Genomic DNA, 24,906 nt, shown 5'->3' with positions numbered 1-24,906 from the left:
TTAGGTACAGTGTCTGGCACATAGTAGATGCTCAATCAATGATAGTTACTGTTTTTCTTAGTGCCTACTGCTGGAACTATAATAGGAACCTATCTCCCAGTCCTCAGGGACACTTTCCCACTTATATACTTTAGCAGCTCTCTCTAGGGCCCCCAGCACACATTCCCCAATCACTGCATAACTCAAGATTCCTCTGGCCAGCCTATGTGTTCAGGTCTGGCTGTCCCCCAAGACCTTTTTGGCCCATAGTTACATGACATTCATGATGACCCTTTCATTTATGATGAAAAGGTCCATGCTAGCTTAGGAATCTCACCATTCCCCTTTCCTTAGTCCCGTCTAATTCTAAATAACTAGAATTCTGTAGATAGAATCAGATAAGTAGAATTAGATAGAACAACTAATATCTAATTCTAAAGAAGAATAAGGGTTTTTTTTTTTGAAACAAAGTTTCGCTCTTGATGCCCAGGCTGGAGTTCAATGGCACAATCTTGGCTCACCACAACCTCCACCTCCCGGGTTCAAGTGATTCTCCTGCCTCAGCCTCCCGAGTAGCTGGGATTACAGGCATGTGCCACCACGCCTGGCTAATTTTGTATTTTTAGTAGAGATGGGGTTCCTCCATGTTGGTCAGGCTGGGCTCGAACTCCCAACCACAGGTGATCAGCCTGCCTTGGCCTCCCAAAGTGCTGGGATTACAGGTGTGAGCCACTGCGCCCGGCCTCAAGGATTCTTCAGATAGGAAAAGATTATATAAAAAGAAAGTTTCTAGAACCTTCCCTGGGTAGCTTTGTTTTCCCAGAGGAGCCAGTCACCACCACCCCCTACTCCAATAAAACTATAAGGAAACTAACATTTGCACAAGACTTCCTAGGAGTCCTATATATTTTTCTCCCCAACAACTTCTTGTCCCCATTTTACATATCCAGAAACTAAGCCTCAAGCACTCAACTGTTAGAACTGAGATTTAAGTCTTTAGTGCTCTCTCTTTCCACCACTCTGCAGCTACCAGCAGCTAGCGCACACACACACACACACACACACACACACACGCACATATACACACACACATGCACATATACACACGGCACCCTAGCTCATTCTGCTCTCAAATTTTGTTCAGGGGCAGCCTCAAGAAATCTCCATTGCCCAAGGGAGTAGACTAGAGCTGTCAGTCAAGCCCTCTGGGGAACACCTTACCCGGGTTCTCCACTAGAGGCCTGAGGCAGTTATTGTGGTTTCCCTTTGTGATGTGTCACTATTTCCAGAGATCCCAGGCAATCCCTCCAGAACAATACCCCCACCCCACTCCCTCCATGGAACAGGTGCAGTATCTGCCATTCCAGGACCCAGATTTGGAAATCATTTCCCAGGGCTTCACTGGGATGCTTCACTGAAAAAGAAGTCTCCTGCACATTTGGAGTTCTGGCTACTAAAAACTCATGTTAGCATGGGAGTCTCAACACTTACCACCTCCTTCCCCAGGGCAGCTTGAGGTCAAGGTCCAGGACAGAAGGGAAAGCAGGGAGAGTTGGCAATGCCTGTCCCAACCAGGGCAGGGACAGTCAACTCCTTGAACTGGAGGCAAGGAGAGAGGAGGGAAGGCATGGCCCCTGCAGTTCCCACTAAGACCCACCCTGATATCCCCTTAGTACCAGTCAGCAAGGAGGGGAGATGACGCCTTTTTATTAAGGTTAACACCAAGGAAAGCATTGAGAAGGAATACACAAAGGAGGGGGAGGGCACACAAAGTCACCACTTGAGGAGGTGGAAGGGCGGCACATCAGTAAAAGAACCTCAGGACAGCCACATGCTCCATGCCCTGGTTGGGGGAAGAGGGAGAGAAAAGCGCCATTGATAGCTTGGAGCTCGTAGAAGGGTCTGAAGCCCCTGAACCTAACACCAGAGCCACAAGCCCTGCCCCTGAGGGCTCACACACTACTACACAAGTAGACACACATAACACACACAAGACATTATGAAGGCAACACCGAGAGGCAGTGGGCAAGGACATATTGACAGAAAAAGGAACTGAAGTTAAGCAGGTGTAGCCAGGAGAGACAGTTTTTGGCTGCGGCCCCAAGAGTCCCTCAAATGTCCCCTAAATCTGGGCTGCTGCTGAGCACCCCCGAGTCTCTGCCTGTGAACCGGGCTCTTTGTTCTCTAAGCCCCAGGGAGTGGAAAAGCAATCCCAGATGAAGTCAGTGACAAGGCAGGATCCGCTCTGCATGCAAAATCCTAGAGGTTGAGCTATTATGTCTTCATGCACATTCATAGCCAGCTCCTCCCAGCCCAGGGGCCCTTGGAACCCCATTCACCCAGATTCCTAGGGCTGCAGTTCCCTCCTCAAGCTTCCTTTACCAATCAGCAGCCGCAGAGATCTGTGAGGGGGAGAGGCTTCTGCAGAGCACTGAATATCTTGGATTTCAGCAGAAGGGTAAATTTCCTGTTGCCAGAACAAAATACCCCCAATTCCTTAATTTCCAGGTAAATTGTTAGAGATTATTTGCCATGGTCCTAGGTAAGTCCTTTTTCAGAATAGAAAAAGCAGAATTTTATTTACACAATTCACGGGTTCTCCTGTTGTCTGGGAAGGGGGAAAGGACAGGATAGGGATGGATGGGAGTCCAGAGATGGGCGCTTCCTCTCCCGGAGCCTCACCTTTCCGCAGTTCGCTATAATTCGCTTAGTTGGGCAGAAAGAATTCTCGATGCTCCCAAAGTCCTTCACCCTACAAATCCTTCCTCGAGGGAGTCTCTCTCTGCCTGACCCACAAGAGCAGCTGTCCAAGTGAAGCATGCCGCACCGCGCCGTTCAGTCCCCCTCGCGTCATGCACTCGGAAACCCAAAGACAGCCCGGGAAGGTAGTGCCCCACGGAGTCCCCTCACAGGGAGGCCTCGCCCTCCAGTTGCAGCAGGGTAATGTCGGGCATGTCGAGGGGCTCCACAAGTGGCCCGTCCCCCCCAAGGAGACCAGCACAGGGGCTTTCGGGGCGCTCACAGTGACTGGAGGGTGTGGCGGGGCTGGGCATCTCCTTCTCTTCTTCCTCTTCCTCCTCGTCCTCGGGATCGCGACCCAGCAAGCCGCTGTCCCCGATCCCAGGCGAAGGAGTCTCCGGCTCTTGGGGGTCGCTCTGGAAGCTCCCCTTGCCGCCGACCACGCCCAAGCCGCCCTGGCGGGGCGCAGTGGTCATAATCTGGCACATGGAGACGATGGCTCGCTGGTTGGCGCACACGTCGTCCGAGAGCACCTGGATGTGCGAGGCCTGCTCGTCCAGGGCCCCCCTCATGGCCCTCACGTCCTCAAACAGGGCTTGCAGCTGGGCTTTCAGGTGCTCCATCAGTTCCTTCATGCCGCCGTTGTACTCCCCGGAGATCACGTCCCCCACTGCCGGCACGGTGGACACCTCCAGGGGCGCCGGCATGTCGCCGCCGTCCTTGGTCATGATCTCCAGCAGACCGTCCTCCATTGAGTGGCAGAAGCGGGTGGCGGAGGCTCTGGGTCGCGTCCAGCCCGGCCTCCGGGGTGGGGGAGGGGGTGGAGGGGGAGAGGTCCCGGGAGGGGCTAGCGGGAGCCGAGGGAAGCGGAGGCTCCCGAGACTGGCGGGGAGCCGACGTGAGAGACGAGTCCTGGGCAGAGGGCGCAGGCAGGATCGCGGGAGGCCGAGAAGAGGCTGCGGGACGAGGACCCGGCGAGGGTCCCAGAGCCGGCGTCTCTTGGGATCGCCCCGGGACGAAAGTGCCCTGCCCTGCCTCGCCTCCCGGATCGCGCCCGTGTCAGCGCCGCCCTCTGGGCGCCACAAGCAGAGAGCGCCTGCCGGTTCCGTGGGTCACAGACGCGCTCGCGGAGGGGTCCGCGTCCAGGCTGAGGCCAGCGGCGCGTCGGACTCGGGACTCCCCCAGGCCATTACCGGGCAGCGCCCGCGAGTGTGGCAGCAGCAGCTGGGGTGGGTCTCCCGGGGGTGTCGCGGATGCTCCTCTGTTTCCAAGGCGACGCACGGCACGTAAATGACGTGTGTCTCCATGGTAACCAGGAAGTGGCGAAGAAAAAGGGAGGATGGCTGGAAGCTGCAGTGGGGCTCTGGAGTCTGGACTAGCGGGGTGGGGGGAGGAGAGGGGACGCTACAGTGGCTTCGGCCAAGGCTGGAAAGAGCGTGTGGTCGCAATGTTTAATAGGGAAGTATGAGAGAGCCGTCTGCTGCAGAAACCTCCAAGTCCGGGAGAGATCGTCCCTCCCCTAGCCGGGGTATGAGACCCAGCGAGACTGCCCTGGAAAGATTTTTCCAGCCCGCATTCCTTTCTCAGAGGATGGCGCTAAAGTCGAGTCCTGCCTCCCTGTCCTCCAGCGATGCGCAGGAAAGCGGAGAGGGTAGAGAGGCTGTTGCTAATGATCCCAGAGTTGAGCTGGGGCACGGTGGCGCTCTGGAGCCGGACCCACCGGGCCTGACGGTGCAGAGGCAGGAGGAGGGCGCTACGGAGGTTTCTGCAGTAAATCAGCCCTCTAGCTATAGAAATCACCGGAGCGGGGGAAGGATGGGACTCCCTCCTTTATGAGACCCTACCGCTCCTACGCAGGTCTCTGGGAGTTTGTCCCAGATGGGGAGGCCAAGTGCTTAAGTTTTGAGAATGAAAGCTCCATAAGGGGAGAGATTTTTGTCTCCCCTGCACCCTCCATCACGGAATCCCCAGCTCCTAAAATAGTGCCTGGCACCTAGTATGTAGATGCTTAATATAGTTATTGAATGAATAACAAAAACCACCAAGTCCCACGCTCTCATCCAGAACTCCCCAAGCCAAACGTAGTGGGTTTTAGGAGACCTGAATTCAGTTTCGTTTCTGCCACTTATTCATTCAGCGACCTTGGCCACATCATTTTCCTCATCTGTTAGGGAATTGGACTGGATAATCTATAATACTATTTCTAATTCTGAATAACAGTCTGCATCATCTCACAGGTGAAAAGGTAAACTGTTGACCGTTGTGTGGAGGGTATGGATGGGGGGACTGTGTGTTAGAGTAATTCCCGCTCTCTCTTTCAGTGCCCAAGTTCAGACATACACTGAGTATCCCCAACCTTTGTGACAAGCCCTTTCCCTATTTAAGGGGTGGAGCAGGAAGGGTGGAGGAAGAAGAAAAATTGTCTTTAATATACGTAGATGATTGCAGATTGAGAAGGAATCAGCACCTGGGCAGAGCACAATAATTAATAATGACCCTAGGAAATTAGGGAAGCCAAGTGATCGGAAGCCAAAAATGAAGTTCATAAGAATAAATCTGGGAAAGAGAAACAAACTATATCACTTCAAGATAGAGAAGAACTACGTAAAGGTGAGTGTTTTGTAGACTGGCGGTTCAGTGACAGCAAATGTGTTACCTTTGGGTTTCCCTGGTTATGTGCTTGGTGATGAAGAGTGAGGCTGGCCCAGGGAAAGTTTTGTGACACTAGAGGACTGCTTGACCTATACCAATCTTACTGCTTTTAAAATAGAAACAAGTGGGGACTATCCTAAATGACCAGCAGCAGAATGTTTAAATAAACTAAGGCAAAATTGCTGATACATAAAGTATTATGCAGCCATTAAAAATTTGATTTCCCAAAACAAATATATGAACAAATTTTAAAAACACAGTATTGTATTTTCTGAAACTAATGATTCAATTCTATTTGCTTGCTCATTTCTTCCTTCATTCTACAGATTTCCAGCACTCTCACCTTGCTTAGGACTCCTACCTCTGCTCTGTACCCCACACGTGGTAATAACACCTTAGATTACTCCTGAAACTCTGGCTCAAGAGAGGACAGAAATGCTTTTCCTTGGTTTCCATAAGCACAGCTGAAGTGGGCTGGTGTTTACAAAGAGACTTTATTAAAAACTATAGGAAAACTAGAAATAGAAACAGAACACATGAAAACAGCTGAGCTTACACAGCATAAGTTTCTGATTATACTACAGCAAGCATGTTCTCAGGGCTTATAGGTCCAACCCTGCTTTCATCCTTCCGAGGAGAGCTCTGCTATAGCCAGAAAAGACTGGCATGGCTTTCAGACTTTCTGTCTAGGTCTGTTACTTTACATCTCTTGACAAGCACTTCACATGGAAGATTTCATCTTGCCAATTCACCCTTCAGGTATATCCCTACCTTCTACCTACAAAGAGTGACTCTGTCCCAGTGGGGGACCTCTCATTGTTGAAATCCCATAAGCTTACACTAAGCATAGCCCCCATACAGGAGGAGCTATGGTATGTCATCATACAAGGCCTTTTGCCACTATTCTTGAGGATGTGAAGGCTTTCAGCATAAGATTACATCATGCTGTCCAGAGGTGCTGGCCATGAAGTCCACTGAGAGTACAAGGGATCTGAGCCCAGAGGGAGGGGAAATTATTGGAGAAGCACAAAAGGCCATGGGAAACATGTGCAGAGATCAAGCAGTTTGGCTGGTCCAGTCAAGTTCCAGGTCAAACATTTGAGAGCCAAGGGTAGGTGGGAACTGGGGGAGTGGACCAGTAGCAGGATTTGAAAATATAGGAAGGTGGCTGGGTGCGGTGGCTCATGCCTGTAATCCCAGCATTGTGGGAGGCTGAGGTGGGTGGATCACTTAAGATCAGTAGTTTGAGATCAGCCTGGTCAACATGGTGAAGCCCTGTCTGTACTAAAAACACAAAAATTAGCTGGGCATGGTGGTGGGCACCTGTAATCCCAGCTACTCCAGAGGCTGAGGCAGGACAGTCGCTCAAACCCAGGAGGCAGAGGTTGCAGTGAGCCAAGATTGTGCCACTGCACTCCAGCCTGGGTGACAGAGCAAGACTTAGTCGAAAGAAAGAAAGAGAGAGAGAGAGAGAGAGAAAAGAAAGAAAGAAAAAGAAAGAAAGAAAAAGAAAGAAAAGAAAGAAAGAAAGAAAGAAAAGAAAGAAGGAAAGAAAGAAAGAGAAAGAAAGGGAAAGGGAAGGGGAAGGGGAAGGAAAAGAAAAGAAAAGAGAAAAGAAAAGAAAAAGAAAATATAGGAAGGAGACATTGGTGCATCTGATAGAAAACCAGATCATTTCAGGAACTCTGTGTGAAAATGAGATGAGGTAGAAAAGTCTAGTCTCAGGAAAATAAGGAGAATAAGGAGAACAGAGGCAGAGCCTCAGTCAGCTAGATGGGTTACAGGCCTGGGCCCTCTGGATCCCAATGCCCTATAGTTAGTTGCATGGGTCCATTTCCAAGCAAAAGGTGGCCAGATGTATACCCCAGCCATCCTACTAGAATATTCAGAGGAACTGCCACATAATAAGAGAATATAACCCCCGCACAGCTTCTGCTTCCTGCTTTTCTATTATCCTCTGGGAATCCCCTTAGCTATTCTCTTCATCCCACTCTTATCAATCTGTGATAGGGAGAGACCCTCATGCTATCTACATATAGGTTTCCATCAGGTACACCTAGTTTCAAACCTCATATTCTCACTAAAATTGGGATTTGGAAGAGGCTCTGCCATTTTCCTCTGTCTGGTGTCTCGTGTATCTCTAGTTTCTATTTTCTATAGCTGGTGTATTTTTTGCACTATAAATCCGATGATGCTGGCTAGACTCAGGTCTAGAGCAATGATTTAAAACAAGATATAGCTGACTGCTGTACCTTAGGCGCCAAATCCCAGACAGTATCCCCCAAATATAACTTTCATGAAGCTGACCTGTTTTGTGGCCCATCACAGCTTGATATCACACTCAAACATATCCAATAGCCAAAAGAATTAAAAAGAAATTTAGATTTTTATTACAGTCTCTGGGCAAACTTTAAAGGGGTTTACATTCTTAGTGCACAGCGAAACATCTGAAACTTGTCTTCCTTCCTTCTCTATTTGTTCCACACATTATGGCATAGCTGTTGCTGCTGGTCTCTCTCTCCCCAAACACTCCCACACTTTCTCTCAAGCCTGGCCCTTGCTTTCTCACTCCCTGGCTCTCTTCACTTCTTGGATGTATTCTTTTTCTCTCCTCCAAGAAGCTTCCTGTCCTCACATAAATCAGGCCAAGCTTATTTTAGCTCTTTTGATTCTGTTCCTCATTCCCCCAATCTGCATAAGTACTGGGAATCCCAGCTATCAATTACAGGGGTCTTCTCAGAGGATAAAAAAGATGGAGAGGCTGAGAATATTCGCATTGTTGTGGGTTTTGCCTGTCACATAGGCTAGTTTTTCTCAGCACCAGAGAGTGGTTTACCTGGCATTACAGCCAATCTGCTTTGTTCATCTCCCCGACGTTTGCACAGAGAAATGGACATGGTGGTTTGCAAAGACCCTGGGCCCTTATGAGCCTCTAACTGGAGAGGGGATCCAACTGTCCACACCCTCAAGATTATTTAGTGTCATAGACATGGCCGTGTGGTGAGCCACCTACCCACACCTCACGTAAGGCCTGAACTACACTTCCAGTTGCTTGCTCTGTGACTTCAAACTATTTTTAGGAGTCTTTAAGGCTACCCCTAACCTCTTATTTCTCTTCCATATTAATTTAACTCAGAGCAAGAATTCTAGGGGACCTTCCAACTTCTCATGCAATATGAATCTCCACTGACAATAACCCCCCATTCCAATTAAACCTGTTTTGCCAGTGTCATCCCATCTCCCCTTTCTGCACTGCCCCCTGCAGCAGCTTCTCTTAGATCAACACTTGCAGAGCCTTTTCCCCCTCTCAGTGCATATTCAAACATGTATTCAGTATCACTGTGATGTCACCAGTTCCAACCCAAGTCTCTAGGTAGCTGGCCATGGACACAGAAGCATTCAGAACTCCAGAACCACCAATGATCCCTGGTGCATGGTCTCAAGCACCTTCCATCTTTTCCATAAATTATTTTGCCCCCAGAAAGTTGCCATTTTTGCAACAGCTTAGAGCCTGGTTTGGCCCCAAGTCAGGCACTGACAGTGCTGCACCACCTGAAAAACCAATTTCTAGTTCAATGGAGGCAATTTTGTTTGACCAATTGCCTCTCCCACAGTATCAGTCCAATTTGAAGGAAATCATGTCCAAATATCTATGGTAGGATAGGGACTATGATATGTGTGCCATAAACTTCCCTTCTATTAAAGGTATTTTTAGGAATTTAATGTCCCTCATAGCTGACTTATGCAAACTTCCAGGACCTTCCTTGCCTGTCATATCTTGAGGAAGTCTGTGCTATTCTATCCTACGCAATTCTACAAAACTTTGTAGGTCTCCCTGTTACTAATACATCTAGTTATACTAAGTCCATCCCTCTCAGAGGCCCCCCCAAATAATGTCAAAAGTTATTTCTACCACATTCTCAAGGGCCAGCGAGGCACTATCAGTTACAGTTTAGCAGCCACTGTGAGGGTGCATTCTGTTTCCATTGCCCAAACACAGATGGAGACTATACTAGTATTTGTGATGATACCATGGACAGGGGCCCCAAAATGTAATCCATGTCTTCAAAGTACTGTAGAAGTGCTGGATCTTAGGCAAAAGTGAGGAGAAGGACCCTTTCCCCCAACTTTTCCACCTAGAACCCCGAGGCCCCTATTTTAAGAAGTCTTGCATAAAAATAGCTCCATCTTCTACGGTTGACCACTCGTTCACAGTTCATAGGCACAATGCCTGCTCTTTTGTTTGTTTTAAAGCACCAGGATCACTTTCATGCTGGAACTCTAATCCTTTTGCTTTGCTTTATTCTTCTCCACACCAGTTATCAATATCTGTTATCCTGTATTTTTGTTTATTTATTTTATGTCTTATTTATTTATCTTTTACTCCCAACTAGGGTGTAAGATCCATTAGAGCAGGGGGTTTGTTTTCTTCACTGCCTTATCTGTAGCACCTAGAATAGTGCCTGGCACATGGCAGATGCTCAATAAATATGTGTTGAATAGATGAATGAATGAAGTCTAAATCCATACCTAGAAAAAGAAACAACTCCCTTAAGGACATGTAGTCTGCAAAGCTCCAACTCTGCCTTTTCTTCGAGAACATTTTAGCTTTTTCAGTTTCAACCATCTACTTCGGTAATCTATGGCTTATGGTCACACTATTAAGTGGCCCTGTTGGTGGCCTTTCTTGAACAAAGGAATACTTACTTCAGAGACAAATGGAAGTCTCTATTTCTTACAAAATAGAAAAGTGCTTGCAGCTTTGAAATGAGAGCTGTCACCACCCCTCTAACCTCCCTTGGGATATTCCACCACTATCCCCATCGAAGTCTCAAAGATACCAGGGCCAAGTTTTGTCAGAACTCAGGGTCAAAGAAATGCACGCTCTCTGCTCCCCTCAGCATTACCCGGGAATGGGATGATATCAAGCCTGTATCTTCATACTGCATGCTAAGGAGAACTCCTGATTTATATTCTTATTCTGGTGGAGACAGCCTCAGAAAAAGTACCCTGTTTCTGGTTGTAAGATTAGTAGCTAACTGAGAAAGGGACATTATGAACATAGAGATTACTATGCTTTAAAGCTTGTGTATGTCTTCTCTTTGTGTTCCTAAACTGGTAGACTAGGGTGATTTAGGGTAGTGCTATCACCGAGTTACATGTTTTACTGTAATAAAATTGAGTCCTTCTTGTCCCTTGCTGCCTCCTTTCCTTGCTTCTGTTCTAAAACCAAACCAGACAAAAACTCCCCATATTGATCAAATATATAACAAAAAATACATAAAGGTCAGCCTTCCCAGGATAGTAAAACTAAATTAAAACCAAACAGCAAACATGGATCAGAAAAATAATATTCCAGAAATTGAGGTTAGTCTCTAAACAACCTAAGTGAGACATTTTTGGTAAGGTCTTGTTATTCTCCACAGTGTTGTCTGTGTCTCTAAGACGCAGAAGGGAACAGTATGTCAGGTTTACTGGTAATTGCCTGGATCAAATGAGTTAAACTGGGATAGATTCTCCTCAGAGGATGATCCTGAGTCACATATCCAATCTCTCATTCATCCCAGTTCATCCATCACCATAGCACACATGGGCTTCCAGCTGCTTCTTATACTATTAAAAACCAATTCCCTCTTACCAAAGGCATTAGTAGTTTTGCTGCTCATTAGAACAATGAGTATCATCCAAGACACCTCCAGGTATATTAAATGATAAACTGCTCACAATTTCACATTATTCACACTGAAATCACTGAGTTTAAACTGCAGGGAGGTCTGTGGGACATAAGCTCCTCTGCTTCATACTTGTGGACTTAAACTAGTGTGTTAGGGGAGAGTCTCTTCCTAGAAAGGAGAGATGGTGGAGAAAGATTCTAAGAGATGGAGATGATGTAATTTGAAACTTACTGCTGTAATTTGAGACCTAAGACCTAATGGAAGAAAGCAAATAGTCAACAGATGTGAGAGAAGGAAAAGCTAGAAAGAATTTCTCAAAGGATTTGTAACTCTGAGACAAACTAGCATTATTCCTACTTCCACTGTGAGGTCAAGATGCAGGATAAAGCATTTAGGTTAGATTTCTTAAAGAACTTGAGAGTGATGGATGTGTGAGAGAGGAACGAGCCTGCATTTCCTCTCCAGGAAGCCTTGAAAACCAGAAGACAGTCTTACTTGTCTGAGTTTAGCTTGGGAAAAAACAGCTTTACATATCCCTGAGACCAGCTCTGTGCTATTTCAGCAATTCTACCTCCCACATTTTAACTCCAAACCAAAAGTTGAATGAATTCTGAAATGATTGCATGTTTTTCACAATAGAAAGATTACCACAGTCTCTTAATACCCTCAGATGCTTCTCTAATCCATTTTCTTCTCCCTATTTCCCCAAGCAATGCCATACTCAGGCCCTTGCGATCTCCTGCCTGGAAGACTATTCCTCTGCTACATGTGACTAGAGGCTAGCAGATTGGACAGTGCAGCTCTAGGATTTACAATATACACCTGTAACATATCATAGTCTACTTTTAGATAGTGTAAAAATCTTATAACAATTTACTTTCAGTTTCTCCCTTATGTTTTTTATTGTTTTTGTCATACATATTGCTTCTACGTATGCTAACACCCAACCGGATTTTTATTATTTCTACTTTAAATAGTCATTTATTTTTTTTTCAAGAGATTAAAAAGTGAGAGGTTGAGTGCAGTGGCTTACATCTACAATCCCAGCCCTTTGGAAGGCCAAGGTGGGAGGATCATTGGAGCCCAGGAGTTCAAGACCAGCCTGGACAACATGGTGAAACCCCGTAAATACAAAAATTAGCCGGGCATGGTGGCACACACTTGTAGTGCCAGCTACCAAGGAGGCTGAGGGAGTAGGATTGTTTGAGCCTGGGAGGTCGAGGCTACAGTGAGCCGTGATCGCACCATTGTATGCCAGTCTGGGTGACAGAGCAAGACTCTGTTTTAAATAAATAAATAGAAAATGTTTTAACTATTTTACTTATATTTATTACTTTTCACACTCTATCTTTTTATATTGATCAAATTTTTGTTATTATTTTTCTTTTGCCTGAAGAACTTTTCATTTCACCTTTGTTGGTATAAAAAAAATCTTTATTTCACCTTTATTTTTGAAAGACATTTTTGCGAGGTAGAAAAAATTCTGGCTCAATCTTGTCTTTCACTTTACATAGCTTTTATAAGAAATCTGTTGGCATTTTTTATTTATTCCTCTACATCAGGGATGGCAAACCTTTCATAAACATCCATATAGTAAATCTTTTAGGCTTTGGAAGCCATACGGTCTCTGTTGCAACTACCAACTCTGCCACTGTAACACAGAAACAGCCATAGCAAATACATAAATGAGTGTGTATGGCTGTGTTCCACTAAAACTTTTTTTTGCAGAAATAAGAAGTGATCTAGATTTGACCCAGGGGTCATAGTTTACCAATCCCTGCTGTATATATAATGTGTCTTTTTCTTTCTTTTTTTTTTTTTTTTTTTGAGACGGAGTTTCGCTCTTGTTGCCCAGGCTGGTGTGCAATGGCACGATCTCGGCTCATCGCAACCTCTGCCTCCTGAGTTCAAGCGATTCTCCTGCCTCAGTCTCCTGAGTAGCTGGAATTATAGGCATGCGCCACCATGCCCAGCTAATTTTATATTTTTAGTAGAGATGGGGTTTCTCCATGTGGGTCAGGCTGGTCTCAAACTCCCGACCTCAGGTGATCTGCCTGCCTCGGCCTCCCAAAGTGCTGGGATTACAGGCATGAGCAACTGCTCCTGGCCTATGTATCTTTTTCATCTGGCTGCTTTTAGAATTTTTGTCTTTATCCTTGGTTTGTAGCAACTTGGTTATGATGTGCATGGGAATGGTTTTCTTTGTTTATTCTGCCTGGATTTTATTGAGCTTTCAAATTTGGAAAAATGTTAGCTTTTATTATTATTATTATTATTATTATTATTATTTTTTGAGATGAAGCCTCACTCTCTCTCCCTGGCTGGAGTGCAGTGGCACAATCTTGGCTCACCGCAATCTCCACCTCCAGGTTCAAGCAATTCTCCTGTCTCAGCCTCCCGAGTAGCTAAGGTTACAGGCACCCACAACCATGGCCAGCTAATTTTTGTATTTTTAGTAGAGACTGGGTTTCATCATGTTGGCCAGGCCGGTCTCCAACTCCTGACCTCAAATGATCCACCCGTCTCAGCCTCCCAAAGTGCTGGGGTTACAGGCATGAGCCACCGTGCCCAGCCTTAGCCATTATTTAAAAATATACCTTCATTTTTTTTGGAGACGGAGTTTTGGTCTTGTCACCCAGGTTGGAGTGCAGTGGCGCCATCTCAGCTCACTGCAACCTCCGCCTCCCAGGTTCAAGTCATTCTCCTGCCTCAGCCTCCCAAGTAGCTGGGATTACAGACACCCACCACCATGCCTGGCTAATTTTTGTATTTTTAGTAGAGACATGGTTTCGCCAGGTTGGCCAGGATGGTCTCAAGCTCCTGACCTCAGGTGATCCACCCACCTCGGCCTCCCAAACTGCTGGGATTACAGGCATAAGCCACCACGCCCGGCCATATTTTTAAATATACATTCTTAGCCCATGGCTCTTCTGAAATGTCAATTGCATTATGTTAAAATATTTGATATACCACACAGAGCACTTTTGCATTGGTCCTTTCTTTTTCAATCTTTTCTTTTCTCTCTGTGCTTCATTTTGAATAGCTTCTATGTCTTCAAGTTCCCTGATTCTTGTCTTCCATAGTCTATAATTTGCTATACATTTTCTGTGAATACTTCAAATGTTATTCATTTAAAAATTTGATAATCCTGGCCTTCATTGTCTAGAAACAGGCATATTTCAAATCATATTTAAATTAATAATTTGCAACAAGTTCCTGATGTTTTACAATCCTTTCACACTTGTGGAAATTCTTCCAAATGCATTAAGCAATACTATTTTTTGTCTGGTTAGATGGGATTCCTAACCGGGCCCACTTTCTGGCACATTTGCTATCAATTTCTCTGAAAACAAGATCTTGAGAGCAGTGCCAAATCCTGAGCCTGAAGCTTTCCCCACAGTTGACATTTAAACCAACCAACGCAATCCCTATTTTTTGAAACACTTCTATAATGCAGCCTAAAATCTGTCTTTAGTTACTTTGCTGTTTCTTCCATCTCAAGCCAAAAAAATTTAAATAAGAATTCCATTGGCCGGGTGCGGTGGCTCACACCTGTAATCCCAGCACTTTGGGAGGCTGAGGCGGGCGGATCACGAGGTCAGGAGATCGAGACCATCCTGGCTAACATGGTGAAACCCCGTCTGTACTAAAAAATAAAAAAAAATTAGCGGACGTGGTGGCAGGCGCCTGTATAGTCCCAGCTACTCGGGAAGCTGAGGCAGGAGAATGGCGTGAACCCAGCAGGCAGAGCGTGCAGTGAGCCAAGATCGCGCCACTGCACTCCAGCCTGGGCGACAGAGCGAGACTTCGTCTCAAAAAAAAAAAAAAAAAAAAAAAAAAGAAAGAAAGAAAAAAGAAAAAAAGAAAAAGAAAAAAAAAAAGAATTCCATCAAAATACAAAAGAAATGATTTGACTTCCTAAAATATTTCCAGAAGCAACTTTTTGTTTTCTGAACCTTGAACTTAATTTCCAATGAATAGTTGAAAATCTGGATGCTCAGAGAGTGGTTGCATTTTAGATTAAGGCCTTAATTTTATTAAGCAGAGAAAATACAAGTTCTTGAGCCTTCTTGGAGCTTCCCCTTCAGTCAAAATGCCATCAAACCTCTGATGGAATTCTGTAATGTGTGTCCCCATTTCTTTTCCAAATAAGTATGTTGATGTTTTTGTTGTTGGGTTTTTGTTTTGTTTTGTTTTGTTTTGTTTTGTTTTGTTTTTGAGATGGAGTCTCATTCTGTTGCCCAGGCTGGAGTGCAGTGGCATGATCTCAGCTCACTGCAACCTCTGCCACCCAGGTTCATGTGATTTTCCTGCCTCAGCCTCTGAGTAGGTGGGACTGCAGGCACGCCATGCCCGGTTAATTATTTGTATTTTAGTAGAGATGGGGTTTCACCATGTTGGCCAGGCTGGTCTTGAACTCCTGACCTCAGGTTACCTGCTTGCCTTGGCCTCCCAAAGTGCTGGGATTACCAGCGTGAAACACTGCGCCAGGCCAAGTACCTTATAAATGCTATCTTGCACTCAAATGCACATTCTTGCTCACATGTAGTCCAGATATAAGTCTGTAGAATGCTCTTTTTATATACAGAGTCCTTTTGTCCAACTGTGAAAAATGTTCTGCTCACATTTCCCTTGATAGAAGTGCCAAAATATTTAAAGGTCTTTTGTCTGTAATTTGAAAGTCTTCCTCATAGATCATGATATCCCGTATCTTCCAAGCATCTGGCACCTGTAATTCTCAGGATTAAGGTACGATCTATATATTCAGCATCAGGGTGCCGTATGACATCAGCTTCACAGACGTTGTCTGAGGAGTCATCTTGCTTGGTCCACTGAAGAACAGTCTTTTGTGTTTTCCCGCTCAGAGATTCATCCACAGATCCAAGTTGTTCAGCTTGTCCATAGTCTTCAGTGAGATTACTGGCATCTTCAGAACACTTGTAGCTGGCAGATTTTATGTAAACACTAGATGTTTAACTTATTTGATTTCACATTTTTATTGCTTCTTACACTAAACTTGCTTTATCTTATAAAATACATAAAATAGTTTTATAATACCACTATTAGAAGTAACAATAAAATTACAGAATGAAGCTTAAGAGTTCTTCGTAGTTTGTTTTGTTCCTAGAATATATTTCACTAGGGAAAGAAAATCTTGTGTTTAAAAGTCATTTGAAATAAATCTTTCTTTTTGGTTATGTTACCAACCTCATAAACACTTAGCTTTATTTATTTCACTTGTTTCAATTTTAGGGATTGTTCTTTTTTCTCTTTTTGGTTTAACTTAATTTTTGAATATATTAAATGATTACATGATTCTAAAGTCGAAACTACATAAAAAGGTATACTCAGCCATATCTCCCTTCCATTTCTTTCTTTTTTTTTTTTTTTCTGTGACAGAGTCTCACTTTGTTGCCCAGGCTAGAGTGCAGTGGTGTGATCTCAGCTCACTGCAACCTCTGCCTCCCAGGTTCAAGTGATTCTCCCGCCTCAGCCTCCCAAGTAGCTGGGATTACAGGCATGCAACAACATGTTCGGCTAATTTTGTATTTTTAGTAAAAATGGGATTTCACCATGTTGGCCAGGCTGGTCTTGAACTCCTGACTTCAGGTGATCCACCCACCTCAGCCTCCCAAAGTGCTGTGATTACAGGCGTGAGCCATCGTGCTGGCCTCTCCCATTTCCATCCATTTCCTTCCCTACTCTTGTGTAGATAACCATTTTTATTACTTTTATATTTACTAGTCTTTTATTGCTTTTGTCTTTCCAATGCTTCATTTTGCACGAAAGTAGCTTCTCATAAAATATTGTGGCTATCATTCTAGAGCAACACATACATATATTCCTCATGTTTATGGGTTCATAGTACTCCACTATATACTACAGTTTATTTAACCACTCAACTGCTCCCCTATTGATGGATATTTGGGGATTTTCTAGACTTGTGTCATTCAAAATACCACAATGAATACTAGCCTTGTGTATATATTATTTCTTTTTTTTTTTTTTTTTTTTTTTGAGATGGAGTCTCGCTCTGTCACCCAGGCTGGAGTGCAGTGGCGCGATCTCGGCTCACTGCAAGCTCCTCCTCCCGGGTTCACGCCATTCTCCTGCCTCGGCCTCTCCGAGTAGCTGGGACTTAAAGGCGCCTGCCACCACGCCCAGCTAATTTTTTGTATTTTTAGTAGAGATGGGGTTTCACCGTGGTCCCGATCTCCTGACCTCGTGATCCACCCGCCTTGGCCTCCTGAAGTGCTGGGATTACAAGGGTGAGCCACCGCACCAGGCCGTGTATATATTATTTCAAATTTGTACAGAAGTACTTTTAGTGTAGAGTCCCCAAAAATATCATTGCTGGGTTAAAGGACAGATTAATCCATTTGTAATTTTGCTAGATTGTACTAAATTCCCTTCCTTAAGGACTATATCACTCTATACTTCTACCAGTAGCATATCACTGTGTCTCTTTTCCCTAGAGTTTTAGCAACAAAGTGTACTCTCAAACTTTTGAATTTTTGCCAACATAATAAGAAATGCTGTTTCAATGTAATGTAATTTGCCTTTCTTTTTTCAGTGAGTTGTGCATGTTTTACTATTTTAAGGGCCACTTGCATGAATTGTTTCTATCTGTTCATGTCTTGTGCTCATTTTTCTACTGGATCTGTGTCTTTTTATTTCTCAGAGCTCCTGTAAATTAGGGAGATTACTTTTTATTCTGTTGTAAAAATTGCGATTGTTTTGTCCAGTGACTCATTTGTCTTTGGCTTTGCTTATGGTATTTGGGCTATACATTTTTAAAAAAACAATATATAATAGAATTGGGTGGCTGGGGAATTCATGTGTAGATCAGAGTGGAAGCAGGTGTGAGAGGGTCCAGCAGAAGAAAACATGGCAGCCAAAGTGTTTGAGTCCATCGGCAAGTTTGGCCCGGCCTTTGCTGTTGCAGGAGGCGTGGTGAACTCCGCCTTATATAATGTGTATGCTGGGCGGCAGAGCTGTCATCTTTGACCGATTCCGTGGAGTACAGGACATTGTGGTGGGGGAAGGGACTCACTTTCTCATCCCATGGGTACAGAAACCAATTATCTTTGACTGCCATTCTCCACCTCGTAATGTACCAGTCATCACTGGTAGCAAAGATTTACAGAATGTCAACATCACACTGCGCATCATCTTCCGGCCCATCGTTAGCCAGCTTCCTCGCATCTTCAGCATCGGAGACGACTATGATGAGCGTGTGCTGACGTCCACCACGACCAAGGTCCTCAAGTCAGTGGTGGCTAGCTTCGATGCTGGAGAAGTAATCACCCAGAGAGAGTTGGTCTCCAGGCAGGTGAACAACGACCTTACGGAGCGAGCAGCCACCTTAGGGCTCATCCTGGACGACGTGTCCTTGACACATCTGACCTTCGGGAAGGAATTCACAGAAGCGTTATAAGCCAAACAGGTGGCTCAGCAGGAAGCAGAGAGGGCCAGATCTGTGGTGGAAACGGCTGAGCAGCAGAAAAAGGCAGCCATCATCTCTGCTGAGGGCGACTCCAAAGCAGCCGAGCTGATTGCCAACTCACTGGCCACTGCAGGAGACGGCCTGAGTTGCCCAAGCTGGAAGCTGCGGAGGACATCGCGTAACAGCTCTCATGCTCTCGGAGCATGATCTACCTGCTGGCGGGGCAGACCGTGCTCCTCCGGCTGCTCCAGTGAGGGCCTGCCCACTCTGCCTGCACCTCCGCGGGCCAATTGAGCCACAGCCCCGATGATTCTTAACACCGCCGCCCACCCCCTCCACCCCAAAAATCACTGTGAAATTTCATGATTGGCTTAAAGTGAAGGAAATAAAGGTAAAATAACATATATATATACATATATATGTAATAGAATTGACTAGTCTTTTATTGATTCTGGGTTTTGAGACATAGGAATGCTTTGCCCGCTATTCCCAGGGATGCATGGGTAGTTTACACAGAAATCTACACGTGCCTTCTTCTAGACTTGAAGAGTTTCCATGTAGTCATGTTTAGCTAACGAAGCCACGTGGAGTTTTTCTTGGATGTGCAGTATAAGCTATGGATCCAATGTTACCTTCTTCCACATGGTACCCAGTTGTCTCAACAGCATATATTTTTAAAGTCCATTTTTCACATTGTTTTATAATGTCTAACATACATTAAATTTTTATATGTACTTAGATTGATGCCTAGACTTTCTACTATGTTCCATTAGTGTGTCTGTCTATATGCACCAATTTTATACTAGTTTGATTATGAAGGTTTTGTAATATCTTAAATGTCCGATAAGACTGGCCCCTCCTCATTGCTCTTCTTTTCAGGACTTTCTTGGATATTCTTGTTATTTCTTCCATATGAACTTAAGAATCAATTTGTATAACTAAAAAACAAAGTGAAACAAAAAAACCCTTGGCTTTTTTATTGGAATAATGTTAAATTTACAAATTCACTTAGAATGTCTTTCATTTTTTTCAGGTCTGTTTTATGTCTCTGAAGCTATTATATTAATAGTTTTCCTCATAGGCTTTACATATTTCTTTTACCTTTATACCTAGGAGTTTTGTAATTGTGGTCACTATTACCAATTGGCTCTTGATTCCATATTATTTTCTAACTGGTTCATCCTTGTATCTTACGTGTGAAGCCTGTTGACTTCTGTATATAGCTTTTATATTCTGCTACCATATAGATTCATCTTTTTGTTTGTGTAGTTTATTCATTGATTTGCTTTTGTTATCTAGGTATACCTATATCATCAACAGTTTTCACACATCCAATAGGTTTCTTTTGTAAAAATGCATTGGCAAATACCTCCAACATCGTGTTAATGTTACAGTAATGGTGGGTATCCTTGTCTTGTTTCAGACATTAACAGGAATGCCTCCAGTGTTTTCCTATGAAAATAGTAAGATGATGATAAACAAGATGCTGTATGATGTTAAGAAAATTATCTCCCATTCTTCTTTTGTAACTTACTTTTATAGGAAATTCAACTTTAATTTTTTCAAATGCTTTTTCAGCACCTAGGAAGATAATTACAGGACTTTCCTTCTTAGATATAATTATATTAATTATATTAATGAATTTCCTAACATTGGACCATCTTTACCTTCCCAAAACAGTTTCTACTTTGTCATGACATACTGTGCTGTCTAATTCAATTTGCTAATTTTTTTAAGCATTTCTGCCTATGATATTCATAAATGATATTGGTTTGTAATTATCTCTTTTGTATAATCTTTATTAGGTTTTGGTTTCAATGCTATATTTATGTCATTAAAAATTTTTGAATTGGGATAAGGGGTCTTCAAAGAATATCATTTTAAACCATCTTGGACACTTTTAGAAAGAGATATATATATAGGCCAGGCATGGTGGCTCATGCCTGTAATCCTAGCACTTTGGGAGGCTGAGGTGGATAGATCACCTGAGGTCAGGAGTTTGAGACCAGCCTGGCCAACATGGCAAAACCCTGTCTCTACTAAAAATACAAATATTAGCTGGGCGAGGTGGCATGCCCCTGTAATCCCAGCTACTAGGGAGACAGAGGCAGGAGAATCACTTGAACCTGGGAGGCGGAGTTTGCAGTGAACTGAGATGGCGCCACTGCACTCTAGCCTGGGCAGCAGAGCAAGACTCCATCTCAAAAAAAAAAAAAAAGAAAGAAAGATATATACACAGAGTCTCTCTCTCTCTGTTGCCCAGGCTGAAGTGCAGTGGCACCATCTCAGCTCACTACAACCTCCGCCTCCTGGGTACAAGCGATTCTCCTGCCTCAGCCTCCTGAGTAGCTGGGATTACAGGCACTCATCACCACGCCCGGCTAATTTTTGTATTTTCAGTAGAGGCAGAGTTTCACCATGTTGGCCAGGCTGGTCTCGAACTCCTGACCTCAAATGATCCACCCACCTGGGCCTCACAATGTGGTGGGATTACAGGTGTGAGCCACTGCGCCCAGCCTAGGAGTCATTCTTGACCACAATACCCTTCTCCAACTTGTAACCAATCACCAAGTTCTATCAGTCCTAACACTAAAATATTTCAAATTCACCCCCTTCTCTCCCTTTCTATGGCCACCACTCAAATCTAAGCCTGCTTGACTTTTTGTCCAGATCACTTAGGCTGCTGTTTTCTCTATTTTAATCCTTGCCTTGGCTCCACTATAATCCATTCTTCTTTAAAAAGTCAAAGTGGTCCTTTAAAAACACACATGTGGTCATGTCACTTGAATAAAACCTGTTGATAGGCTTCTTGTTCTTTTGGGATACAGTTCAGAATCCTTAACATGTCCCCCAAGACCGCACCTGATCTGGAGCCTCCCTACCTTTCCAGCTTCTTGTCTTCTCATTCTGGCCTCTTCCTTGTCTTCCAGGTTCCTAAGCTCTTTCCTCCTTAGGGTCTTTGAATACCCTGACCCTGCTCCATTGGCTGGGAGGCCCCCTCCCCACACCTCCACACCTTTGACCTGGTTGTTTCCACCCATCTTCCAGGTCTATGCTCAGGGAAGCTTTTCTTGACCTCCCAGCCTGAATTAGGTCCTCTACTGAATCATCCTATTACCCTCTCTACTATTTCTCTTTGTTTATTTGGGCACTATAACAAAAGTACTGTAAACTGGGTGTCTTGTAAACAACAGAAATTTATTTCTCACAGCTCTGGAGGCTGGGAAGTCCAAGAAATCCCAGATGTTGGTGTCTGGTGAGGCCCCACTTGCTCATAGATAGAACTTTCTCACTGTGTCCTCATATGGTGGAAGGGGCAAAGTTCCCTCTTTTAGAAGGGCACTAGTCTCATCACGAGGACTGTGCTCCTATGACCTAATAACCTCCTTCATGAAGGCCCCACCTCTTAATACTGTCACCTTGGGGGGTGGTTAGGATTTCAACATATGAACTTTGAGATGACATAAATAGTCAGTCCATTGCACTTTTCCTTTACAGAAGTCATCACTATTGTGACTATTTAGGCATACAGGTGACTATCTAATATTTGTTTCTCACATCAAACTGTAATTTTCCTAGTGATCAGGACCATATTTCTCTTGATCTTAGCTGGCTGGATCTTTAGTGTCTATCACAACAAACAGCACAGTGACAGAACTTAATAAGTATTTGTTGAATTAATGGGTGAATTAATCAATCAACCAATTAATGATATAATCAAAGACTCAATGAATGAACCAAGAACGAATCATTCAACTTTGGGCAAGAAGCAAGAAGGAGCAAATGCTCTACTTGCCCTCCAGGGGGAGACACACTCCCATTAGAAATAGCATAGACCCAGGTGAGCAGAAAATTCTGACATTGATTGTAATTTGCTTCTCAAATGGATTCAGAGAACCAGATCTTTTTTCTTTTCCTTTCTTTTCTCTTTGTCTTGCTCATAGAACTCTCCAGATTAATCTGGACCACCCAATTGTACCAAGCAAGTAGTCATTTCCTCTGTAATTTCCCTCCCCTGGACGACATTAACTCTCCTACCAGTTTGTCCCCTTCAGTCTTGATTTGCTAGGTAATTTAGCTATAAATGCCTACATTCTTGGAAAAATAGTATCATATATATATATAATTTCAGTATTATCATTAAAATTGTTATTTGTATTTTTACTGTACTTTTTTTTTCAAAATCCTTCAGGCAATTTTTCTCTATGAAGACTGAAAATGTTTTATAATTGCTCTGATAGTGGAAAATATTGGTAGACTATATGACCAAAAATAATAACAAAATATTGATTAAAAGCCAATTTTTAAAAAATAGATAATTCATAAAATTTCCCAAGCCCTGGGGAAAGTTAAAAGGAAAAAAAAAAAAGAGTAGAGTTTGGCTATTGAGCGCATGTCTGCCTCTGAGCAGTTTCTGAAAGAAGTCCTTGTTTAATCCTGATGGCATGTCTTGGGAGAGTATCCCTGCTGCACATTAATACTGTTCTTTTCTTTGCTGAATTACTTTCTCTAGTACAAGGTTTAAGCATATGAAAGGTTTCATGAGACTTACATTATGTTTCCTCTGAACTTTCTTTTTCTTTGCTCTAGTTCCAAAGCTTCCTTTTCAATTTTTCTACGTCAGGGACTAGGACATAGAGGCACTCCACTATTCCCATTTTTGGGAGATCTGTTCATTTTAGTTCAATTCCATTGTATTTATTAAATAACTATTGTGTGTTTAGAACTGTGCAATGACAAAAGAGATGAGTATAGAAATCTAAATCTCTGCTCTTTTAAAGGCGCCACAATGTAACTGGGAGGATGAGATATTTGGTAACCTCCTTGAACAAATATAAAATCATATAAAGATGACATGTCAACATTTATGTAGTTTACAAAACCACTTTTCACAAATGTGGTCTAGGTTTTATGAAATTAACTTTTGGAGTAGGTGTTAATACTCTCATCCCATTGTACAACTGAGACTCAGGTAAAGTATTACTTACTTTAGTAAGTAATTTTACTTTTACTTATAAAAGTACTTACTTTTACAAGTAAAGTAACTAGAGCTACTATCAGAACTGGAATCTTGGTCTTTATGAAGTTTGCATAATATTACATTATTTCTAAATATGAGGAATGTGCTATAAGTGATAGTCCTAAAAATTGAACAAATTCAAAGTAAAGTAAAATATTCCATTATTGAAAGAAAGCTATTTTTTCCCAACTAGCCAACTAGTCTGACACTTGGATCTTATTTTTTTACCCTATTTTGTAAACATTGACTGATTCCCTCTCTTTCCTTCACTCTTAGGGTATCTCAAACTCCCTTTTGGTTTGTTTCTTTTTCTTTGTTGATGGAGAACTTATTTGAAAGGGGTCCCTTTTTACTTAACTTGCTTTTTTCTAGGAAGGGTGTCAGGGAAACGTTGCCATCAACATTAGCCAGGCAACCCCTGATAGAGAAGGATGGGGCCTTTAAGACAGGGGAGTATTTGATAATTTCTGGCCAGAGATTTTAAAAGCTGTTGTGAAATGCTTCATGTTACCACTTAGAAGCTTGCAATGCAGAATTCCTCTCCCCCAGCACACTGTCACTCTGAAAGATCCACTCAAAATCAGGAAAGGGTATGGAGCCAGCCAAGTGAATAAAGGTTTTTTACTCCAATTAGGAGTTGCTCAAAAGCCTGTGGCCATTCAGTACTGGCAAGACTCAAAGGGCAAGACACCCAGGTCTGTAAACTGGGATACCCCGTACCCGCAGAGTCTGGATACTAATACTGCTGAACAGTGATAGCAGCAATCATTACAGGCAAAACATCATTATCAAATTTCCAGATCAAGTTTATGCCAAGGTCTGAAAATAGGAACATTCGTCATACTGTTGATCAACATCATCTAATGAGCACTTCTTGAGAGCGGAACTGGAATCAGGAGGGAAGGGAAGAAAAAAAACAGTGGCCTAAAAGTCTTATGGGAGACACAGCACACTAAAACACAAAATTCATGGAATCACTTGTAATCAAAACATCAAGAACAGAAATAACCAACTAAAATATGCAGAGATGGAATCTGAATAGTGAATGCAAGATACATGGGCTGTGATCAAAATACAAGTTTATTTTTTGTCTTTTTCCACTTTAAAAATATTTTTTTTCTTGCCGGGCATGGTGGCTCATGCCTGTAACCTTAGCGCTTTGGGAGGCCAAGGCATGGATCACTTGAGGTCAAGAGTTCAAGACCAGCCTGGCCAACATGGTGAAACCCTGTCTCTACTAAAAATACAAAAAATTAGCTGGGCATGGTGGCAGGCACCTGTAATCCCAGCTTCTCAGGAGGCAGAGGCTCGAGAATTGCTTGAACCTGAGAGGCAGAGGTTGCAGTGAGCCAAGATGGTACCACTGCACTCCAGCCTAGACGACAGAGCCAGAC

At 43.6% G+C, this 24,906-nt stretch overlaps 1 protein-coding gene and 2 pseudogenes across 1 annotated transcript, besides 3 other annotated features; 1 reads left to right on the top strand and 2 right to left on the bottom strand.

Annotated features, from left to right (window-relative positions):
- Positions 1-1,666: 1,666 nt before the first annotated feature.
- On the bottom strand, positions 1,667-3,949 carry CCDC184 (coiled-coil domain containing 184). Its single transcript, NM_001013635.4, has one exon. The coding sequence runs from the start codon at positions 3,468-3,470 to the stop codon at positions 2,886-2,888; it is 585 nt and encodes a 194-aa protein (NP_001013657.3). The 5' UTR covers positions 3,471-3,949; the 3' UTR covers positions 1,667-2,885.
- On the bottom strand, positions 15,538-16,058 carry LOC100533659 (endoplasmic reticulum oxidoreductase 1 alpha pseudogene; annotated as a pseudogene).
- PHB1P18 (PHB1 pseudogene 18) lies at positions 17,865-18,939 on the top strand (annotated as a pseudogene).
- Positions 22,173-22,467: a silencer, noted in NCBI's record as "tiled region #5417; HepG2 Repressive non-DNase unmatched - State 12:CtcfO". NCBI's record gives its function as "represses a minimal TATA promoter and a strong SV40 promoter by Sharpr-MPRA in HepG2 cells {active_cell/tissue: HepG2}" and the evidence as "EXISTENCE:reporter gene assay evidence [ECO:0000049][PMID:27701403]".
- Positions 22,173-22,527: a biological region, named in NCBI's record as "Sharpr-MPRA regulatory regions 9525 and 5417".
- Positions 22,233-22,527: a silencer, noted in NCBI's record as "tiled region #9525; HepG2 Repressive non-DNase unmatched - State 13:Ctcf". NCBI's record gives its function as "represses a minimal TATA promoter and a strong SV40 promoter by Sharpr-MPRA in HepG2 cells {active_cell/tissue: HepG2}" and the evidence as "EXISTENCE:reporter gene assay evidence [ECO:0000049][PMID:27701403]".

The sequence above is a fragment of the Homo sapiens genome, chromosome 12, assembly GCF_000001405.40.
Source record: "Homo sapiens chromosome 12, GRCh38.p14 Primary Assembly".
Taxonomy (NCBI): domain Eukaryota; kingdom Metazoa; phylum Chordata; class Mammalia; order Primates; family Hominidae; genus Homo; species Homo sapiens.
The sequence above is the reverse complement of the archived record's forward strand: the minus strand, read 5'-3'. Positions and strand labels throughout refer to the sequence as shown.